At 35.3% G+C, this 21,738-nt stretch overlaps 1 long non-coding RNA gene across 1 annotated transcript in view; it reads left to right on the top strand.

Moving 5' to 3' along the window:
* Positions 1-19,141, top strand: part of LOC105375976 (uncharacterized) — a 60,514-nt gene extending 41,373 nt beyond the window's left edge. Inside the window, exons 3-4 of the long non-coding RNA NR_188496.1 lie at positions 934-978; positions 18,784-19,141. This is a non-coding gene — a long non-coding RNA (uncharacterized LOC105375976). The remainder of the gene's footprint in view (positions 1-933; positions 979-18,783) is intronic.
* Positions 19,142-21,738: the final 2,597 nt, after the last annotated feature.

Genomic DNA, 21,738 nt, shown 5'->3' with positions numbered 1-21,738 from the left:
GTGTGTGTGTGCATGTGTGTGTATGTGTGTGTGTGTGTGTGAGAGAGAGAGAGAGAGAGAGAGGGAGAGAGAAAGAATGGAATCAAAGTAATATTTGGAGAGAGGAAGTTTAATAATTTTTGACACACACCCCACCCAAAATTCTATTCTGTTAAAGTCATATTTATTTTGCTTTTCACCTCTTCATAGTGTTGTATTCCCATTAATAACTGTTCCTATCACTAGGTATTGCTGTTATATATTCATGATACTTAGTCAAGAGGTTCTTAGAACTTTCTTTCCAATTGGCTGAATAAATGTTTAAAGAAATGCCACTAACTCCATGGCACAGATTTCTGTTTCATAATATGCTTCTTATGTTATTAAAGTTAATATTTCAGTCTAATAATACCTCTCTCTAAGGTACATGGTGGTGGAAAATACAATTAAACTCTGTGTTAAGTATCAATTGATTGAATTTGAGAAACCAGACAATAAATATTTGTTGAAGGGAATTATAATGAAATCCATTAGGTGCAACAGAGGAAGCATATGTTTTGAATTTATGTCCTAGCTGCAGGGGACAGCATGATATTCTCTTTCTTTCTCTCTCTCTCTCTCAAATGAACTTTGAGGTTCTCTTATTTTTACCTACTTTTATACAAGTTATGGTTTATGTCATTAAGGTAGAATGAAGGAGTGAAATTAAGGATAACGTATTATTGTGCTCTTTCATCATTTAGCAATTCATAAATATCAATAATATTACTTTGAACAGCAATGCCGGGGTGGACTTTCAAAGTGAAATGAAGACAATATACCATTTGCTTTCATAAAGTCTTTAAAGCCTTAAAAAAACATGACATAGTTAAGCATGTTCAAACTTAAAGTTATTCTCAATTCAATTGAAACAGAGAACAGGAATAAATAGGCTTTGTCTTTTCTGTCTTGCAGGAAACTGACTTTACGTTTACCAGATCCACCAGGTCAAATGTGAAGGTAAGCCTGTAGCACATCCTTGGTTTATAGACAATTCTAACAGATGTAATCAATAAAGGTGTAATAAACATGTGCCCAGAATGAAAGGGCACTTGGCACATCCTACATAATTGATTTTAAAACAGATTTAAAACTTCATGATCCTTATTTTTGAATTTTAAAAACACAAAGTCATAAACAAAAGTTTTTCATTAACACTAAAAAGTCTAAATTGCGGTATATTTCTCTGTCACACAAAGCAACATTTTTGTCTTTCTTACAGCAAAAATTAGAAAAAGCAGCAGTGAAACTGATTATTAATTGTCTGGAGAGTAGCAGAACAAAATTAATAATGTCACACCTCTAGACTGGAACCAGTGGTTTCTTAAACAATACAGAAAATAGCTTAAACTATAATCAATTTTACCTGGATTGGAAGGTATTACTGGCAATTAATGACCATGTAACTTGGAAAATCAATGAGGTCTGCCAAAAGACATTATGAAATTCAAACCATTTTACAATTTAGTTAATTCAGTTCAAGATTATTATGAAAAGGAACTAGGATAATTGAAAGATAATGTTGAAATAACATATGAGCAAGTAACATGAATTTGATAATGACATATACCTGATATATGACTTATTTCTATTAGAAATAATTGATATTTTTGCTTTATTCTTGGAAGAAATATAACTTGTAACATTGTTATTATATTTTTGTATATTTAAAATAACTTTCTTAATGGGTCTGTCATAATATTTCTATCTATAATTTATAGAATTTCATTATAATTCCATTTCTATCACAGTACAATAGAGATGAGTTTTCATTTAACAGATTTACTATAACTTCTTGTTGTAATAGCATTATTTGAACACCATGACTATTTCCTCTGCATTTAGAGTATTCATAAGAACTACTATGGCCTACGTTAAGCATAGGACTTAATACCAAAATGTTTTAAAGCTGAAATAGTAAATATTGCATTAATTCTGAATATAAAAAATAGTCATTTATATATTTCTTTAAGCTCAGATTTTTCCCATTAGTTAAATAAAAACAAGGTTATTTATTTTATTTTTTGCCTGCATTTCAGATGGAAAGTTTAGGTTTAGATTTAACACACACAATCAAACTGACATAAAGAAATATACATGCCATTAGGCTTACAAGTTGAAACTCACTTATACAAAATGGAAATTTTTTTCTGGTTCGATGTCAAAATCATGAATTTGTCTCAATTTAGCACTTTTCACATAAAATCAAACATTTGCTGTGCTTAACACAAAGATGGCTTCATACCACTGCACCATCAATGAAAGTGATGTTATGGCGCTTTTCCAAAACCTATGTTTGTGAATACAGAACCTAGCTTTTACTTCTAGTAGTCAAATAAGTAATAAAATATTCCTTGAGTAGGGAGATTCTGAGAACCTGATTTGATAGTTGTGTCATAGGGAAAAAATCTGTTAACTAAAAAAATCATAGAGGAAATGAGACTTGGAGTTCATGAAATGAACTTCAGCATTAGTGTACCAGTTAAAATGATGTTCCACAAGACATCAAGAAAATCTGAAATTAGCTTCATCTGATTATTCTCTTGCCCACACCACCACCAAGTATAATGATGCAAAAGTGCAAATGAGTATTTTTAATCTTCAATTGGTCAACCTTAGGACCAGGAATTTTCTTGAAAAGAGTAGGAGTAATCCATGGGATATGCATGAAGAAAGACAGCCTAAATCATCTGACCCTCACAAGACAAGATAGAGCATAACAACTCCCAAGTGACAGAGCCAGGATTATAACTGCGGTCGATCAGATATTACTTTTGTTATTTTTATCAGCTGAGTTTTTTTTTTTTTTTACTGAAACATTAGGTAGGGCCAAATCAAAGCATTTCAAATGTCGAGCTGCACTGGTTGAAGTTAACATGAAGAGTATTCTGCTTATTTCTCTGTTTCCACACCAAACCTCATCCATCTCTGCCCTCCACAGTGATCTCTGATGTACTTCTGCACAACAAACCTTAGCTTTCCCTAAAAGTCAGTTTTTAAATTACTGCATTTAAGAAACTGGATGCCACATTTATGTATGAATTCATTCTCTGGGCATTATTAGTGAACATATCATCATCATATTAGAAGGAATGAGTTTACTAGCTGGGTGTCTGAAGGCAGAGAGAAAAATTAACATTTGTTATACCTTGATATGTGTCAGACTATTTTGAATTATGTGTGAAATATTTCTGTCTGGGTTGTGATGAATAAATGCTAGTAATTTTCCTCAAGAAACACACCAAGGGAAATAAAAGTCCATTGCATAGGTAAGCAAAATGAAGGTCCATGGTGAATCACAATTGGAAAATTAATAATGAAGGAATTATAGGGCCGTTGTTTTTAGCTCTTTGTCTTCTTTTTTTGATAAAAATATTAACATTTCTCTAATATGCAGTCAAATATGGTTAATGTTTTAAATAAGAAAGTACAAAATATACAAACTTAGACTTAGGTGATAGCATGTTTCCAGGTAAACTCATTGGGAGAACGTTCATGGATGTATTGGTATACAATTTTGACTAAGCAGAAGTGAGGAAAAATTGGAAGAAATGGGAAACAGGATAGTCATCCCAAGGCATCATTGATTATTCTTTCTTTCACCTCTTATAAATCAGGAAATAATCTTATAATACAGTGCCATTCACTTTAGACAATAGTACTTAATATTTGTACCACCTCTGTCATCACCATAAAAAAGGTTAGTAATCTTATTATTTCCTCTGATATTTTCTTTTCTCAGTAATTTTTTGAAGTTGATCAAATTGAATATTCTGGCCACTTGGCTTCCTAAAGCAGAAAACTGTTATGGGGGTGCAGTGCTGAAAAAGGTCTCATAATAGAACCTCTTAATATCTACCCCCACTCCTTGATTTTAAGAATGGGAAACTCCTCCAGTCAGATGTGTCCAGTATTTTGGCCCCTTCAAGAAACAGTGTGAAACAGCAATCACAGATAAATTGGAATGTGCCTCTTCGTTGCTTGTCACTGGAGACTCACCATTGCAGCTACCAAACTCTCCTAACTAGGCAAATTGGTTATGTCTTCAATATTTAGCTTCTGAAAGTCACAGACATAATATCCTCCAGTGACTTAGCTCCTGTCTGGTCATTGCAGAGCAAGGGAATCAGTTTGCCTGCAATCTGTTATCTGAAAATTTTCTAGCCCTTCTTATATTTTTCAACCCGACCTTTGCAATTTCCTTGTCACTCTCACATGTATTTACTCAGCCCAGGAGATTCTAAGCCATGACTGATTATACTATGGCCTCACGAATGTTGTCCCCTACATGATATTTTTATGATTAATTGTAAAACACTGGCGCAGAAAATAAATTATACAAGTAGCCATGTACACCTGGGGGATGAAAGCTTCCAAAAATAATGTATCCTAGTACACTCTACCACTCTGTGAACTTCTCTAAGGCATGGAGCATATTTTATTCTTCTCTCTATTGGCTATATTACCTAGCTCAGTTTCAAGCAATCAGTAAATAAAAGTTTGTTTAGTGAAGGTGGTGCTCCCAGAGAGGGCATGTAAACTCCCTTGCTCTTCCCCCATACCTTGCCCTATGCATGTCTTCCGTTTGGCAGTTCCTAAGCAGTATCCTTTATAATAAAATGGTAATAGCAAATGGTTTTCCCTGAGTTCTGTGAACTCTTTTAGCAAATTTTCAAACCCAAAGAAGGGGTCATGGGAAGTCCCAATGTATATTTGGTCAGTCAGAAGTAAGCAAAGCCTGAGACTGGTGATTGGTCTCTAAAATGGGGGCAATCTTGCAAGAGTGAGTTCATAATCTGTGGGGTCCAATACTCACTCCAGGTAGTTAGTGTCAGAATTGAAATAAATCCTTGAACCTATAATCACTGTCCAGCAAGTTAGAAAACTGGGTATTGGTATGGGAAAAAAACACAGTTTTAGTGTCAGTGTTCTGTGGGTAAAAACATATAGCCATAAACATTCATGTATTTGACACTGGTAGACACTACACACAATCTATTAATTTTAATATTATAGTACTTACAGTTTGATCTCACTGACCTAGTATGCTTCTGAGATTAATAGTTGCTTAATTAAGCCCCTCCAAATCTTAGTTATAGTGAAAAAAGAAAAGAAGGAGGAGTTTGAGGAGAAGAAATAAAATAAAACAATTGTATTTGACTCTGTTGATCACCTAGACTGTGGACACCTTCTATGCTCAATGAATACATAGTTGTGGCTAATTCATGTTCTTCTACATTTAACATGTAGTGTGGCATATTCTAGTTGTTCATCATTTTCCTTAATCTATATTCCTCTGATTTTCATGCCAACCTCAATTTATACTAACTCTTTTCTTCATTCCTCCAGAACCATGTATTCCCTCTCTAGGTTTTTTAAAATTTTTTCTTTATAATACAAATTAGATTAAATTCTTATTTTCTAACCCCCTTTGAAAGTATTATCCCAGTTTCTCTTATTACTTTTATTTTAAAATTTTGAAAATCAATAAGCTACATTCAATACTTCTAACTTCTCAGCGAACATTTCCAATCTTTTAAAGTTTGACTGTAGTCTTCTCTATTGTACTGACATCATTTTTCAAATATTAACAATGTTTATCTCATGTCAAATTTAGTCCTATTTTATATTTTGAAATGCTATTAATCTCCTCCTTATGCAAATATCTTCTTTACCTTTCTAAATAGTGAGTATTTGCTGGTTTTCCTATTGTCTTTCAAGCCCAAATCATTGCTATTTCCTTAAACATCTCAACTTCTGCTGCATTGCCCACTCAAAATATAGTAGAAATATTTTTGTGATCTTTTATTAACTTTTGTCTCTTCTCTGTCTTTATTCAGTCACTCACATGGCTTCAACTATCAGAAAAACATGACAAACTAATAAACATTATCTCCATGACATTTCCTGAATCCCTCATCAAATTTTCTTGCTCTTATATATGTAATACATAATACTATAATATACAGATGTATAATAGTATATGTAATACTACAATATATTATTTTATATATTGTATAATATTGGTTTAATTTATAAATAAAATCAATATTTATCCTGCATTTTTATATAAATAATACTTAAAGGTAACAAAACACATACTGAGGGAAAGTTCAACCTTGGAACTACAGTCAACGAATGCTAATAAGTCATCAATGGCTGCTAACCATTGTGGGATGCTGATGTTAAATGTTGTAATATGTGGATCAGGCTAGTGCACTTGAATCTCCAATCAGTATTAAAATTGTTAAATAATAGGTAAACAAACATGATATGGTTCTTGATACAATACAGTATGAATTAGATAATACTTCTTGTAGCACATTATTTGCAACATTGAACATGAATCATACATTTAACTTGACGTACAAGACACATGGGAAGTGAGAGGCATACTTAGCGACACTGTAAAAATATAATTAACTGAATTCCGAATTTAGAAAATTCCTCCTGACAAGTGGCATATTTTTTTAATAAATTAATACTGCAGGAAACATGCAAAAAGACTAAAATTATATAAGCCAAACATAAGGAGTGAATTTTATTTGGAACGAAATTCTAAACCACAACAACAACAAAAATTTATATATAAAACTAGGACCAAAAAATGGAAATTTTATATTAATTTATAACATGAAATAACCTTTAATTTTGTTGTTTGTGTTAGTTATCTTGATACGATGGGAAAATATCCTTATATGTTAGCATATATATGAAAATATTTGTGATTTGATTAAATTTTATCTATTATATACTTTAAAATATTTCGTGTTAAAAAGGAGGAATGCAATGAAATAAGGCAGAAAGTTGTTTTGCTGAAACTGGATAATGAGGTCATAGTGATTCATTATAATATGCACTTTATTTCTGTTTTGAAAATTTCTGTAAAAGCATACAAGTTTCAATCAATAGCAGTTTATTTCTATTTATTCTAAAGGTACTTATGTTTGCTCACTTGCATAACAGTGGTTGACATTTTACATGAAACACATCTCAAAAATTAACAATCATACAGTTGCAGAAGTATTATGGTTTACTGATTTGTTTTATTCTCCTAGATACTGAAGATAGGCAAAATATTCAGTTTTTACTCATGAGGTACAATTAGGAGTCATTAATGTAATACTGAAAAAGATTACTTTTTTTCCAAATATTTGTTAGAATGTCAAATTAAAAAGAATGGTGATAGCCACACAACTTTAAATCATTCCCTGTAAAAGCCAGAACTTTTCCATTGTTCACTAAATAGTTATAGTTTTGTTTCATAATTTTGTTTTTTATTTATTTATATAAGAATAAGTTTTCAGTGGCGATTTCTGTACCCAAGCAGTGTACACTGTATCCAATGTATAGTCTTTTATCCCTCAATGCCTTCCCAATCTTTTCCCTGAGACCTCAAACCCCACTGTATCATTCTTATGCCTTTGCATCCTCATAGCTTAGCTCCCATGTATGAGTGGGAAAACACAATGTTCAGTTTTCCATTTCTCTGAGTTACTTCACTTAGAATAATGGTCTCCAAATCCATCTAGATCACTGTGAATGCCATTATTTTGTTCCTTTTTATGGCTGGGTTGTATTCCTTGGTATATATTATATATACCACATTTTCCTTATCCACCCATTAACTGATGGGCATTTGGGCTGGTTTTGCATTTTTGCAACTGGAAATACTTCTACTATAAACATGCGTGTGCAAGAATCTTTTTTGTATAATCACTTCTTTGCCTCTGGGTTGATACCCAGGAATGGGATTGCTGGATCAAATGGTAGGTCTACTTTTAGTTCTTTCAGGAATCTCCACACTGCTTTTCATAGTGGTTTTACTAGTTTACATTCCCATCAACAGTGTAAAAGTGTTCTCTTTTCACCACATCCACGCCAACATCAATTTTTTTTTTAAATTGTTTGATTATGGCCATTCTTGCAGGAGTAAGGTGACATTGTATGGTGGTTTTGACTTGCATTTCCTTGATAATTAGTGATGTTGAGCATTTTTTTCATGTTTGTTAGCCATTTGTATATCTCCTTTTGAGAATTGTCTATTTATGTCCTTAGCCCAGTTTTTAATGGGATTTTTTTTTTCTTGCTGATGTGCATGATTTCCTTGTAGATTCTGGATGTTAGTCCTTAGTTGGATGTATAGATTGTGAAGATTTTCTCTCATTCTACGGCTAGTCTGTTTGATGATTTTTTTTTTGTTGTGCATAAGCTTTTTAGCTTAATTAAGTCACATTTATTTATCTTCCTTTTTGTTGCATTTGCTTTTAAGTTGTTAGTAATGAGTCTTTGCTTAAGCCAATGTCTAGAAGGGTTTTTCCATTCTATCTTCTAGAACTTTTATGATTTCAGGACTCAGATTTAAGTCTTTGATCCCTTTTGAGTTGATTTTGTATAAGGTGAGGAAAGAGGACCCAGTTTCATTCTTCTACATGTGGCTTGCCGATTTTCCCAGCACCTTTTGTTGAACAGGATATCCTTTCTTCACTTTATGTTTTTGTTTTCTTTGTCCAACATCAGTTGGCTGTAAGTATTTGGCTTTATTCTGGGTTCTCTATTCTGTTCCATTGGTCTATATACCTATTTTTATGTCAGTACCATGGTGTTTTGGTGACTATGGCTTTATAGCATAGTTTGATGTTGGATAATGTGATGCCTCCAGATTTGTTCTTTTTGCTTAGTCTTGCTTTGGCTATGCAGGCTCTTTTTTGTTTCCATATGATTTTTAGGATCTTTTTTCTAGTTCTGTGAAGAATGATGGTGGTCTTTTGATGGAGATTGCATTGAATTTGTAGACTGCTTTTGGCAGTATATGGTCATTTTCACAATATTGATTCTACCCATCAACAAGCATGGGATGTGTTCTTATTTGTATTTGTCATCTGTGATTTCTGTCAGCAGTGTTTTATAGATTTCTTTGTAGTGCTATTTCACCTCCTTGGTTAGGTATATTCCAAACTATTTTATTTCTTATTTTTACAGTTATTGTAAAAAGGGGTTGAGTTGTTGATTTGATTCTCAGCTTGGTCATTAATTTTGTATCCTGAAACTGCTGAATTCATTTATCACTTTTAGGAGCTTCTTAAATGAATCTTTAGGGTTTTCTAGGTATGATCATGTCCTTTTCAAACAGCAACAGTTTGACTTTCTCTTTACTGATTTGCTCTTTATTTCTTTCTCTTGTCTGATTGCTCTGGCTAGGACTTCCAGTACTATATTGAATAGCAGTAGTAACAGTGGTCATCTTTGTTTTGTTCCAGTTATTGGGGGGGAATGTGTTCAACTTTTCCTCATTCAGTATGAGATTGCCTGTGGGTTGGTCATAGATGGCTTTTATTACATTAAGGTATGTCCCTTCTATGCCGATTTTGCTGAGGGTTTTGATGATAAAGGGATGCTGGATTTTGGTCAAGTTGTTTTTCTGTGTCTATTGAGATGATCGTGTGATTTTTGTTTTTAATTTAGTTTATGTAGTGTATCACATTTATTAACTTGCAGATATTAAACCATCCTTGCATCCCTAGTATGACACTCTCTCAATTATGGTAGATTATCTTTTTAATATGCTGTTGGATTTCATTAGCTAGTATTTTGCTGAGGATTTTTGCATCTATGTTCATCAGGAATATTGGTCTGTAGTTTTTTTTAATTGCTGTTATGTCCTTTCCTGGTTTTGGTATGGGGGTGATAAAATTTAGGTAGGATTCTTTCTTTCTCTTCTTGTGGAATAGTGTCAATAGTATTGGTACCAATTCTTCTTTGAATGTCTGATAGAATTCAACTGTGAATCCATCTATTCCTGGCCTTTTGTTGTAACTTTTTAATTATCATTTCAATCTTGCTGCTTGTTATTGGTCTGCTCAGAGTTTCTATTTTGTCCTGGTTTGATCTGCATAGTTTTTATTTCCAAGAATGCATCCATCTCCTGTAGGTTTTCTAGTTTATGCCATAAAGGTGTTCATAGTAGCTAAGAGTGATCTTTTGTATTTCCGTGGTGCTGCTTGTAATATTTTCAACTTCATTTCTAATTGAGTGTATTTAGAGCTTCTCTCTTCTCTTCTTGATTAATCTCACTAATGCTCTAGCAATTGTATATGTATTTCCAAAGAACAAGATTTTGTTTCATTTATCTTTCGTATTGGTTTATTTTTGTTGTTTCAATTTCATTTAGCTCTGATCTGGTCTTGATTATTTTTCTTTTGGTGGATTTTGGTTTGTTTTTTTCCTGTTTCTCCAGTTCCTCGAGGTATGAGCTTAGATTGTCTATTTGTGCTCTTTCAGACTTTTTGATTTAGGCAGTTAATGCTACAGATGTTCTTCTCAGCACTTTTGCTGTATCTCAGAGGTTTTGATAGGCTATGTCACTATTATTGTTCAGTTCAAAGAATTTTTAAATTTTCATCTTTTTTTTTTTTTTTTTTTTTTTGAGACGGAGTCTCGCTCTGTCACCCAGGCTGGAGTGCAGTGGCGGGATCTCGGCTCACTGCAAGCTCCGCCTCCCGGGTTCACGCCATTCTCCTGCCTCAGCCTCCCAAGTAGCTGGGACTACAGGCGCCCGCCACTACGCCCGGCTAATTTTTTGTATTTTTAGTAGAGACGGGGTTTCACCGTTTTAGCCGGGATGGTCTCGATCTCCTGACCTCGTGATCCGCCTGCCTCGGCCTCCCAAAGTGCTGGGATTACAGGCGTGAGCCACCGCGCCCGGCCAAATTTTCATCTTGATATGATTGTTGACTCACTGATCATTCAGGAGCAGGTTATTTAATTTCCATGTATTTGCATGTTGTTGAGGTTTTCTTTTGGAATTGATTTTCAATTTTATTCCACTGTGGTCTGAGAGAGAAATTGCTATAATTTTGTTTTTCTTACCTTGGTTGAGACTTGTTCTGTGACCTATCATATGGTCTGTCTTGCAAAATATTCCATGTGCTGTTGAATAGAATATATATTCTGCAGTTGTTGGGCAGAATGCTCTGTAAATATCTGTTAACTCCATTTGTTCCAGGGTATAGTTTAAGTCCATTGTTTCTTTGTTGACTTTCTGTCTTGATGACTGCCCAATGCTGTCAGTGGAGTATTGAAGTTACCCACTATTATTGTGTTACTGTGTATCTCATTTCTTAGATCTAGTAGTGATTGATTTATAAATTTGGGAGCTCCAGTCTTAGGTGCAAATAGATTTAGAATTGTGATATTTTCCTAATGGACTAGTTCTTTTATCATTATATAATGTCTGTCTTTTTTCACTGCTGTTGATTTAAAGTTTGTTTTGTCTGAGACTAGATACTCCTGTCCATTTGCATGAAATATATTTTTCACCCCTTTACCTTAAGTTTATGTGATTCCTTATGTGTCAGGTGAGTCTCCTGAAGACAGTATTCACTTGGTTGTCGAATTCTCATCCATTCTGCTATTTTGTACCTTTTAAGTGAGCACTTATGCCATTTACATTTAATACTAGTATTTAGATGTGAAGTACTATTCTATTTATTATGCTATTTGTTATCTAAATACCTTGTCTTTTTTTTTCATTGTATTATTGTTTTATAGGTCCTGTGAGATTTATACTTTAAGGAGATTCTATCTTGGTATATTTCAATTATTTGTTTCAAGATTTAGAGCTCATTTTAGTAGTTCTTGTAGTGCTAGGTTGGTAGTGGCAAATTACCTCAACATTCGTTTGCCTGAAAAAGTCTGTATCTTTTTTTTTTTTTTGAGACAGAGTCTCAGTCTGTCACCCAGGCTGGAGTGCAGTGGTGCGATCTCGGCTCACTGCAAGCTTCGCCTCCCAGATTCATGCCATTCTCCTGCCTCAGCCTCCCAAGTAGCTGGGACTACAGGTGTGCGCCACCACACCCGGCTAATTTTTTGTATTTTTAGTAGAGACGGGGTTTCACCGTGTTAGCCAGGATGGTCTCGATCTCCTGACCTCATGATCTGCCCACCTTGGCCTCCCAAAATGCTGAGATTACAGGCGTGAGCTACCGTGCCTGGCCAAAAGTCTGTATCTTGCCTTCATTTATGAAGCTTTGTTTCACTGGATACAAAATTCTTGGCTAATAATTGTTTTGTTTAAAGAGACTAAAGATGGGACCCCTGTCCCTTCTAGCTTTAGGGTGTCTGTGGAGAAATCTGCCATTAATCTGATAGGTTTTCCTTTATAGGTAACCTGATACTTTTTCCTCAGAGCTCTTAAGATTCCTTTCTTCATCTTGACTTTAAATAACCTCAAGACTATGTGCCTAGGTGATGATCTTTTTGCAATAAATTTCCCAGATGTTCTTTGGGCTTCTTGTAAATGGATGTCTAGATTTCTAGCAAGGCTAGTCTTGTTTTCCTCAATTATTTTCTCAAATATATTTTCCAAACTTTCAAACCTCTCTTTTTCCTTCAGGAATACACATTATTCTTAGGTTTGAACACTTAACATAGTCCAAAACTTCCTGGAGCGTTGTTCATTTTTTGTTTTGTTTTTTTTTTTTTTTTTCTTCTTTCTTTGTCTTTGTTGGATTGTGTTAATTTGAAAGTCTTGTCATGGAGCTCTGAAGTTCTTTCTTCTACTTGTTTGATTCTATTGCTGAGATTTTCCAGTGCGTTTTGCATTTTCCTCAGTGTGTCCTTCATTTCCAGAAGTTGTTATTTCTTTTTATTTATGCTGTCGATTTCACTGGAGATTTTTTCTATTTGTGTTCTGTACCTTTTTTTTTATTTCTTTAAGTTGGAAGTCACCTTTCTCTGGTGCCTTCTTGAGTAGCTTAATAATCGACCTTCTGAATTCTTTTTCTGCCAATTCAGGGATTTTTATCTTTTTTTGAATCCATTGCTGGTGAGCTAATGTTATCTCTTGGAGATGTTAAAAAAACTTGTTTTGTCATATTGCCAGAATTGTTTTTCTGGTTCCTTCCCATTTGGGTAGGCTATGTCAGAGGAAAGATCTGGGACTCAAGGCCTCCTGTTTAGATTCTTTTGTCCCACAAGGTGCTCCCTTGATTTGTTGCTCTTCCCTTTTCCCTAGGGATAGGGTTTCTTGAGAGCCAAACTGAAGTGATCGTTATTTCTCTTCTGGATCTAGCCACCCAATGTAGCTACCAGGCTCTGGGATGGCACTGCGGAGTGTCTGCAAAGAGTCCTGTAACGTGATCTGTCTTCAGGTCTCTCAGCCATAGATATCAGCAACTGCTCCAGTGAAGATAGCAGGGGAGTGAAGTGAACTCTGTGAGGGTCCTTGGTTGTATTTGTGTTAAGTGTGCTGGTTTTGTGTTGGTTGGACTCCAGCCAGGAGGTTGTGCTTTCAAGACTGCATCAGCTGCAGTAGTATAGGAAGGATACAAGCTTGCCCCTGGATCAAGCAGTGGGTGGGGTCATAGAGCTCCCAAGAGATTATGTCCTTTGTCTTCAGCTACCAGGGCAGGTAGAGTAAGACCATCAGGTGGGTGCAGGTATAGGCATGTGTGAGCTCAGACTCTCCTTGGGCAGGGCTTGTTGCAGCTGCTATGGGGTTGGAGGTGTGTCTCCAAGGCCAATAGAGTTATGTTCCCAGGGAGATTATGGCTGCCTCTGCTGTGTCACACAGGTTGCAAGAAAAATGGGGGAAAGCTGGCAGCCACAGGCCTCACCTAGCTCTCATGCAGCTCGCAGCCCAAAAGATCAGTCTCACTCTCACTGCGCCCCCACAACAGTACCAAGTATATTTCCAGGCAGCTGGTGAGCAGAGCTGAGATCTAGCTCCAGGCTATAAGCCACCCGATGAGAAAGCAAGCAGAGTCGCACTTCGTCAGCTGTTCCACAGAGTCTACATCTGCAATCCACCTCCTTCAAAGGGTCTGTGGATTGTCTCGGCTTTCTTGTTATGTTCCTGTGGTAGTTCTTGGAGCAAAATTTAACAATGTGAGTCTCCACACATTGCTCTGTTCATTCGAGTGGGAGCTACAAGTTAGTCCTGACTCCTATCCACCAATTTTTTTCTTTGCATTATAATTTTGGAAATAATTTTGCAGAGAGTAAAAACTAAAATAAAAATAACATATTAAAAGGTACAATATGCAAATGTGGCATATTATAAGAAAAACAGAAAGCAAAACATAACAGCCAAGATTAATGGCATTTAAAAGCTCTATTTGAATCAGACACAGAATTTTTGTACAACATTTTTTCTTCACCATTCTTGTTTTAGCATGATAATTTGCAAGATATTTAAAGGGGATCAAAAAATTCTATTTTTGTGATAGTATGTAGTACTATATTAAATTATTAATGATAGATGAAACTTATAAATTAAAAATATCTAAGAAATGAAAGACTTCAAATCATTCCTTAGGTGTGTGTCCTAATGTTTAATATTTGTTTAACTTGTATAGTAACCTTAAAATTAGAACATTTAGATTCTTGGCATATGATATGATTTGCTCTGTGTCCCCACCCAAATCTCATCTCCAATTGTAATCTCCATTAGTCAAGGGAGGGATCTGGTGGGAGGTGAATGGAAGTGGGTTCCCCCATGATGTACTCATGATAGTGAGTTCTCATGAGATCTGATGATTTAAAAATATCATTTCCACTTTGCTTGCTCTCCCTCTCTCCTGACATCTTGTGAAGAAGGAGACTACTTCCCCTTTGGCTTCTGCCACTATTGTAAGTTTCCTGAGGCCATTCCAGGGATATGGAGCTGTGAGTTAATTAAAATTCTTTCCTTTGTAAATTACCAAGTCTCACTTATTGTCTTTGTAGCAGTGTGTAAATGAACTAATACAGACAATTGGTGCTGGGATAGTGGGGTACTTCTATAAAGATACCTGAAAATGTGGAAGTGACTTTGGAACTGAGTAACAGGCGGAGGTTTGAACAGCTTAGAGGGTGCAAAAGAAGACAGAAAGATTTAGGAAAGTTTGGAACTTCCTAGAGAGTTATTGAATGGTTTTAATTAAAATGCTGATAGTGATATGGACAATGAAGTCTAGACTGAGGTAGTCTAGATGGAGATGAGAAAGTTATTGGAAACTGGAGCAAAGGTCACTCTTGCTATGCTTTTGCAAAGAGACTGGTGGCATTTTTCCCCTTTCCTAGAGATCTGCGGCACTTTTAACTTGAGGGAGATGATTTAGGGTATCTGCCAGCAGAAATTTCTAGGCAGCAAAGCACTGAAGGTGAGACCTGGCTTCTTCTCAAAGCATTCAGTTATGTGCATTTAGAAAGTGTTGGTTTGGAATTTGAACTTATGTTTACAAGGAAAGCAGAGCATAAAGGTTTGGAAAATTTTCAGTCTGACCATGTGATAGAAAAAAAAAAAAAAGAACATTTTCTGGGCAGAAATTCAATCCTGCAGAAATTTGCATAAATAACCAAGAGCTGAATGCTAATAGCCAAGAAAATGGGGAAAAATGTCTCCAGGGCATGTTAGAGATCTTCAAGGCAGCCCTTCCCATCACAGACTCAGAGGCGTAGGAGGGGAAAAATATTTTCATGAGCTTGACCCAGAGCCCTGCTAGTCTCTGCAGCTCTGGGGTTTCATGCCCTGCATCCCAGCCACCCCAGCTCCAGCCCTGTCTAAAAGGTACCAATGTACAGCTCATGCTCTTGTTTCATTGGGTGCAAGTCCCAAGCCTTGGTGGCTTCCATGTGATGTTGGACCTATGGGTGCATAGAATACCAGAGTTGAGGCTGGGGAGCCTCTGCCTAGATTTCAAAGAATGTATGGAAATACCTGGATGTCCAGGCATAAGTCTGCTGCAGGGATGGAGCCCTCATGAAGAACTTCTACTAGGGCAATGTGGAAGGGAAATGTGGGATTTGAGGCCCCACACAGAGTCCCCATTGAGACACTGCCTAGTGGACCTGTGAGAATAGGGCCACCATCAGAAAGGCAGATCCACTGACAGCTTGCATCATGTGCCTGGAAAAGCTGCAGGTACTTAATTCCAGCCTGAGAAAGCAGCTGCAGGGCCTGTACCCAGTGGAGCCACAGGGGCACTGCTTCCCAAGGCTGTGGGAGCCCACCCCTTGCATCAGCATGCCTTGGATTTGAGCCCAGGGCATCAAAAGAGATTTTGGAGCTTTAAGATTTAATGACTTTCTGCCTGGCTTTCAGGCTTGCATGGGCTTGTAGCCCCCTTGTCTTGGCCAGTTACTCCCATGTTGAGCAGAAACATTTGCCCAGTGCCTGTATCTCCATTATATCTTGGAAGTAACTAACTTGTTTTTGATTTTACAGGTTCATAGTTGGCAGGGACTTGTCTTGTCTCAGATGGGACTTTGGATTCGGACTTTTGAGTTAATGCTAAAATCAGTTAAGACTTTGGGAGACTGTTGGGAAGGTGTGATTGGTTTTGTAATATGAAAATGGACTAACATAGCATAGTTCTTGTAATACAAGCCATCAGACCCTGGGCAAATTTGAGTTTCAGTTTCCCCCAGTTAAATTAGCCTATTGTTTATATTTATTTACATAATTTGTATGAAAGATGTTTATAACTTTTAAAGCCCATTACAAATATAAATGATTGGAAGTTTTCTGTAGTGAGTAGTAATCGCATTTTATAAACTCAAATTATTTCCCTTTAATTCCTATCTTGTAAGATTGTTAGAAACATTATGTCTGTCATTTTATTTATATTTTCCCTTTTTATAAGATTGTGTCTAAGTTCTAGGAACTCATGCATGGTTAGTAACTTGGTTGAAAAGAATACTCATAAGTATTTTGGGGGGATCCTATAATATAGGCTAACAACTATTGAGGATTGGGGCTTTTTTTAGTCCTCTGTTGGTTTATGTAGATACTGCTAGTCATCCCTCAATTTCATTCCAAAATCCCCTACATGTCCAGGGTTTGGGGTGCTCCTTCTCTGTTCTACTAATTCTTAGATACTCTGCCATGTTTTAAAGCTCTCTCACCAATACTACAATTTAGTATAATTCTGATGTTCTCACACCTTGCTAACATGTACAAGCCTGTGGAATGACAGACTGAGCAGAAATGTTTCTACAGATCCACTAAAGTCTGAGATTTCATTACTCTCTACAATAAAAATAATTCTTTTCCAGTCTCATGGGAAGGAATTTTTAGTTTCTTACCTGAATTCTCCCATGTCTATTGCCTAAAACTCAGATTTCTTTTTTAGGAATGAGCTAAAGCGTAGACTGTAAAGTCAGACTGGCTTGAATACCTACATACCCACTTACTAGCTTTGCACTTGTTATTTTACTACTCTGCAACTTGCTTTCTTACTTGACAAATAGAAATGATTATAGCATCTACCTCACAGAATTTGATATGTCCAAATATAACCAGAATCTTGTTTGGCACATAATAAGTATACAAATGTTAGCTATTCTTATTCTCATAAACTTCCTAGGGTGCCTTTGTAAAAGTCTGAAGAAATTTACTTTTCCCTGATTTGAGTTTGCACATCTTTTTTCTTAGGTGTCAGCAGAGAATGACTTATATGCTGCCAGAAAAGTGGTGGAAAGAGGGCCAAGTGGGGAATAGAAGAAATAGAAAATAAAATATGATTGATATTTTATTAGTGAGGTGCCAGGTAAAGTTGCTGGAACTGTCATTTACACAGATTATTTATTTTTCTTTCATATAGCAGGTGGTTGTTTTTGAGCAGTTTGAGCTGTCAGGGAAGTTCTCTTCAACAAAGATTGTCAGGGACCCAGGTTATCATAACATAGTTATATTATTCTTCTTACAATGCCATTTTCTAGGGTATTGTCCTCATCCAAGGATTGAAGGTGAGCCACTGCCTTCTCTACCTTCCATCTCCCAGGAAAGATTAAGAAAGAAATTCAGGATAAGTTTCCCTAAAAGGAACACACATATCCTCTAGCACATTCCACAGGTTGTGTCTATGACAATGACCGTATTTTTCTGCAAGACAAGCTAGGAATTAAAGTCTGAAAATTGGTAATCATGTGCCTAGATAAAACATGGAGGGTTATCTTATTGGAAGATAAAAACAAGCTAATAATATCAGTGTTTACTTCAAAATTTCAAAATATGACTGATAAACAATTATGTTAATTGTTCACTGAATTGTTTACAGATTTGTTTACAAATGTGCTTTCTTATTTTGTAAACAGTAAAGATGACAAAGAAGTTATCATTGGAAAACATTTTCTCATTATCACTCTAGTGTTTTTCCAGTAATCATGCTTATGTGAAATTTGCAAAAAAATCATGCATTTACTTCCAGTGTTGGCTTTAAATTTATTATATTACTCTTATAAATAAAGAGGCATGCATTTGACAACAGTATGTTTCAGGAACATATCCATTCAAAATTTCTCTTCCTGTGTTCAAGATTGTTAATAAGGTACGGTGTCCTCTTCTATATATACCTAGGTGGTTTTTAAAATATCTTTTCTCAAAAGTGTACATGGCAGCATTTACGTTCTGTCTTTGCAAATTACTGTGTGACCTTTTAATAAGATACAGTTTCTTTGAAAAAGTTTTCTCACTTCTTGAATGGGATATTACTATATCCAGGTAGTTATGAGAATAAACTATATTCAAGTATTCATGAAATTTAACTTAGAAGCTGATACTAAATGCCAGTTCTGTTCCTCCTCATCCCTGCCACTACTTGTGGGCTGTATATAATTATTTCCATTATCAGGCAGGAACCTGGGGAATGGGAAGATTACATGAACTGGTGAACTGTGCCTACACTAGCAATATCTTAGTATTCATCACCCTTAATTTCCAAATCCCAATGATGACCTTTCCAAAACTCTTAAATTTTAGCTGCTTACTTTTTGTTTCCACAGGTTTTCAAATCACCAACGAGTCTCATTTCGTATGTGGAAAAGAAAACATAAAGAGAGAGATACATTTTCAGCATCTTGTGTTGCTGAAATATTCAATTTCTAGTAATTTCTCCATTGAGCATGTAATTTTTTATTTGAGTGATGACCATGACTATTTTCACTATTGACAGCTTCAGTCCTACTGCCAACCGTGTTAGTTACTTTACTTGTTTAAATCTGAGTTGTTGTAAAAAAAAAAAAAAAAAGTGAAGAAAAACACTCATAATTTTTCTCTCATGTTTTCTTCTTAGTTTATCTGTGACCTTGAAGTCTTTGAATGTAAAGGTTATCAGACAGAATAAAGAAAATTTAAAATGACTCTGTACCTAGCCATTCCTTCCTGGCCATGTCTGTGTGTTTTTGTTCATCATTAGCCTCTTTGAACAAACTCTAAACATATGACCTGGGATGGGCCAAAGATTACTCTGGAAAGAACTCTTGATCCCAGCCTAAGCTCACTCACAAAGCTAGACCAATCAGAGAAATTTCTCACTATTTTATTTCTTTTCTTACTGGTAATGACAAAAAAGTTTTCTTCTTGCTTTGATTGAAAAGATGTAATTCAGAACTGCTTGTAACAATGTAGTAGTGAGTTAGAATCTTGACAATAGCCTATATGAAAAATGAAACCCACATCCAGAGAGATAAGGTGACAAAAAGTGTCTTTATGTCCTTGGTTTTATCTTTTTTTTTTCTTTTTGAGATGGCTCTTGCTTTATTTATTTGAATTGAGGTTTTGTCACTTACAATAGATATCCAACTATTGAACAAGGATCTCATTCGAATTCATATTTTAGATACTAGGAAAAAAATATTTGGGAAGGAAGTAAAATCCACCCAAAAATAGAGTATGTTCATTCATTTTCTTATTCATCTAGCATGTACTAAGCATATTTTTATGCCAGGGACTATGCATTTCTGGAAGTAAAGTCAAACCAGTTATACAAAGATCTCTGTCTGCAAATTGTTCCCAGTACGTGGTAGCAGACCTGCAGTTATACAAATCGTTACAATGAAAGATGGTGCATTCTTTAGGAATCACAAGCAAATTGCTAAAGGAATACAGAAAGTGGATGGTATACTTTTGTCAGTTCCAAGTCACCTGTTTAAAAATTCTCCAATCTGCAAATATTTAATTGAGTCATCCACTGAAATAAAATTGTACATATTAAGACATTAAGCTTATTGTAGACTCTTTATCAATTAATCATTAGCACATCAAAAGTTAATTTTAAGAATTTACAATGTCAGTGTGATCCACAAGATAAATAAGTATTACTGACCAATCTCCTTTGAACTGCCTCCTATGTCACACAGAAAGAGCGATTATTGTAGAGCTCTTACTGCTTATGCTGGAGACAGAGAGTTTATGTTTTATTGATTGTTAAGTGATATTTCTTCTCTCCTTTTGCTCTTTTTGTTATGTTGTGGAATGAAATGGAATAGCTACTGACAGGTTCACAGAATATTTCAGTAAGACAATTCTTGGGTGAGATTTACTCTCACAAAATCAGAGATTTTTGAGAGTGTGTGCATACAGCTTTGCATGTGTTACTAGCAAATATATATAAATTAGAGATTTTGAGTGTGTGCACATACATCTTTGCATGTGTTATTAGCAAATACATATTTGCTATTATTTGTACTGCTTATTATTGCTCATTTTAGTAATGTTCTTTTCTTTTTTGACACTCACTTTCTCTTTCTCTCTATATATGTGTATGTGTGAGTGTGTGTATGTTTTATTATACATTTTGAAAATATTAACACAATAATGTCATGCCAAAATATAATTTGAAATATTTATATTTAGCTGAACATAAAAAATATACACTTTAAATTTTTTGACAAAAACTTCTTGTCATTCTAGACTTCTAGACCCAGAAAAATGTCAGACAAGTTTTAGAGTAAAATGAAGAGCTTTTCAGTGATTGAAAGTCTAAAATTTAATGTCCCATACATTTTTCTTCTGAAACAGGTATAGGAGAATACGAACCACTGGAACAGGAGAAGTGGCTAAGAAAGAGAAAATATGAAATCTACATAAGAGAGAACAAAGTAAATTTCTCAAATTTAAAGAACTCATACATACCCATGAGCAAAAGAGTATTCAAAAGTTTTGTTTGTTTGTTTTTTAGATTTGTTGTTGGAACATTTGGGAATAATAGGTTATAAGTACCTTGAAAATGAAGTAAGTAAATAAACTGAAGGGAAAGAAAAAAAATCATTTTAAAAAAAAGTATATGCGATAATATTCTAGTCCTTTACTGAGCAACTAAAATTATTTATACATGTGTGATAAATGCTAAATAGTGAATTAATGAAAAAATGTATGTAACTATACTGGGAGGCTGGAGAGAGGGAAAGCAGAAAGTGTGTCTAAGTCTAAATTTTCAACTTCCACAATGAAAGAAAATATATAATTATAAAGAAGAATAATCAGATGAAAGCAGCATAAACATATTTTTGAGAAATATGAAAATAAATATTAGAAGCAGGATAAAAAAGTGTTTAAAGGGAGTATGTTTTAACAATATTACCTTGGGTGAGGTATGGTGAAGCCAGACTCAGATCAAGGGAGGTAAATCAGAAAGAATTTAGCAGTGTTGTTACACTCACAGTTCCCCTTGAGAGAACACAGCACAGGATGCAGGGTCACTCGAGAAGCACTGGGTTGGTCATGGGGGTTGCGGAGTGGGAGGCAACTGTGGGCTAGCGCCTTCATTGTAATTTCTGTGGGAAGGAGAGGGCAAAGCAGGGCAAGCAGGTGTCAGATTAGCTAATTTAAATAATTTTAGTGGGTTTCGGGGCACAGAGGCTGCCCCTGGTTATCTGGTAGCTAACCCTGGGGCTTTTAGGGCAGAAGTACAGTGGCTCAGGGTGTGACAGCCAGATAAGAAAGGTGGTTGGGAATGT

Source organism: Homo sapiens, chromosome 9 (assembly GCF_000001405.40).
Source record: "Homo sapiens chromosome 9, GRCh38.p14 Primary Assembly".
NCBI lineage: Eukaryota > Metazoa > Chordata > Mammalia > Primates > Hominidae > Homo > Homo sapiens.
This window is presented reverse-complemented; position numbering and strand designations above follow the sequence as displayed.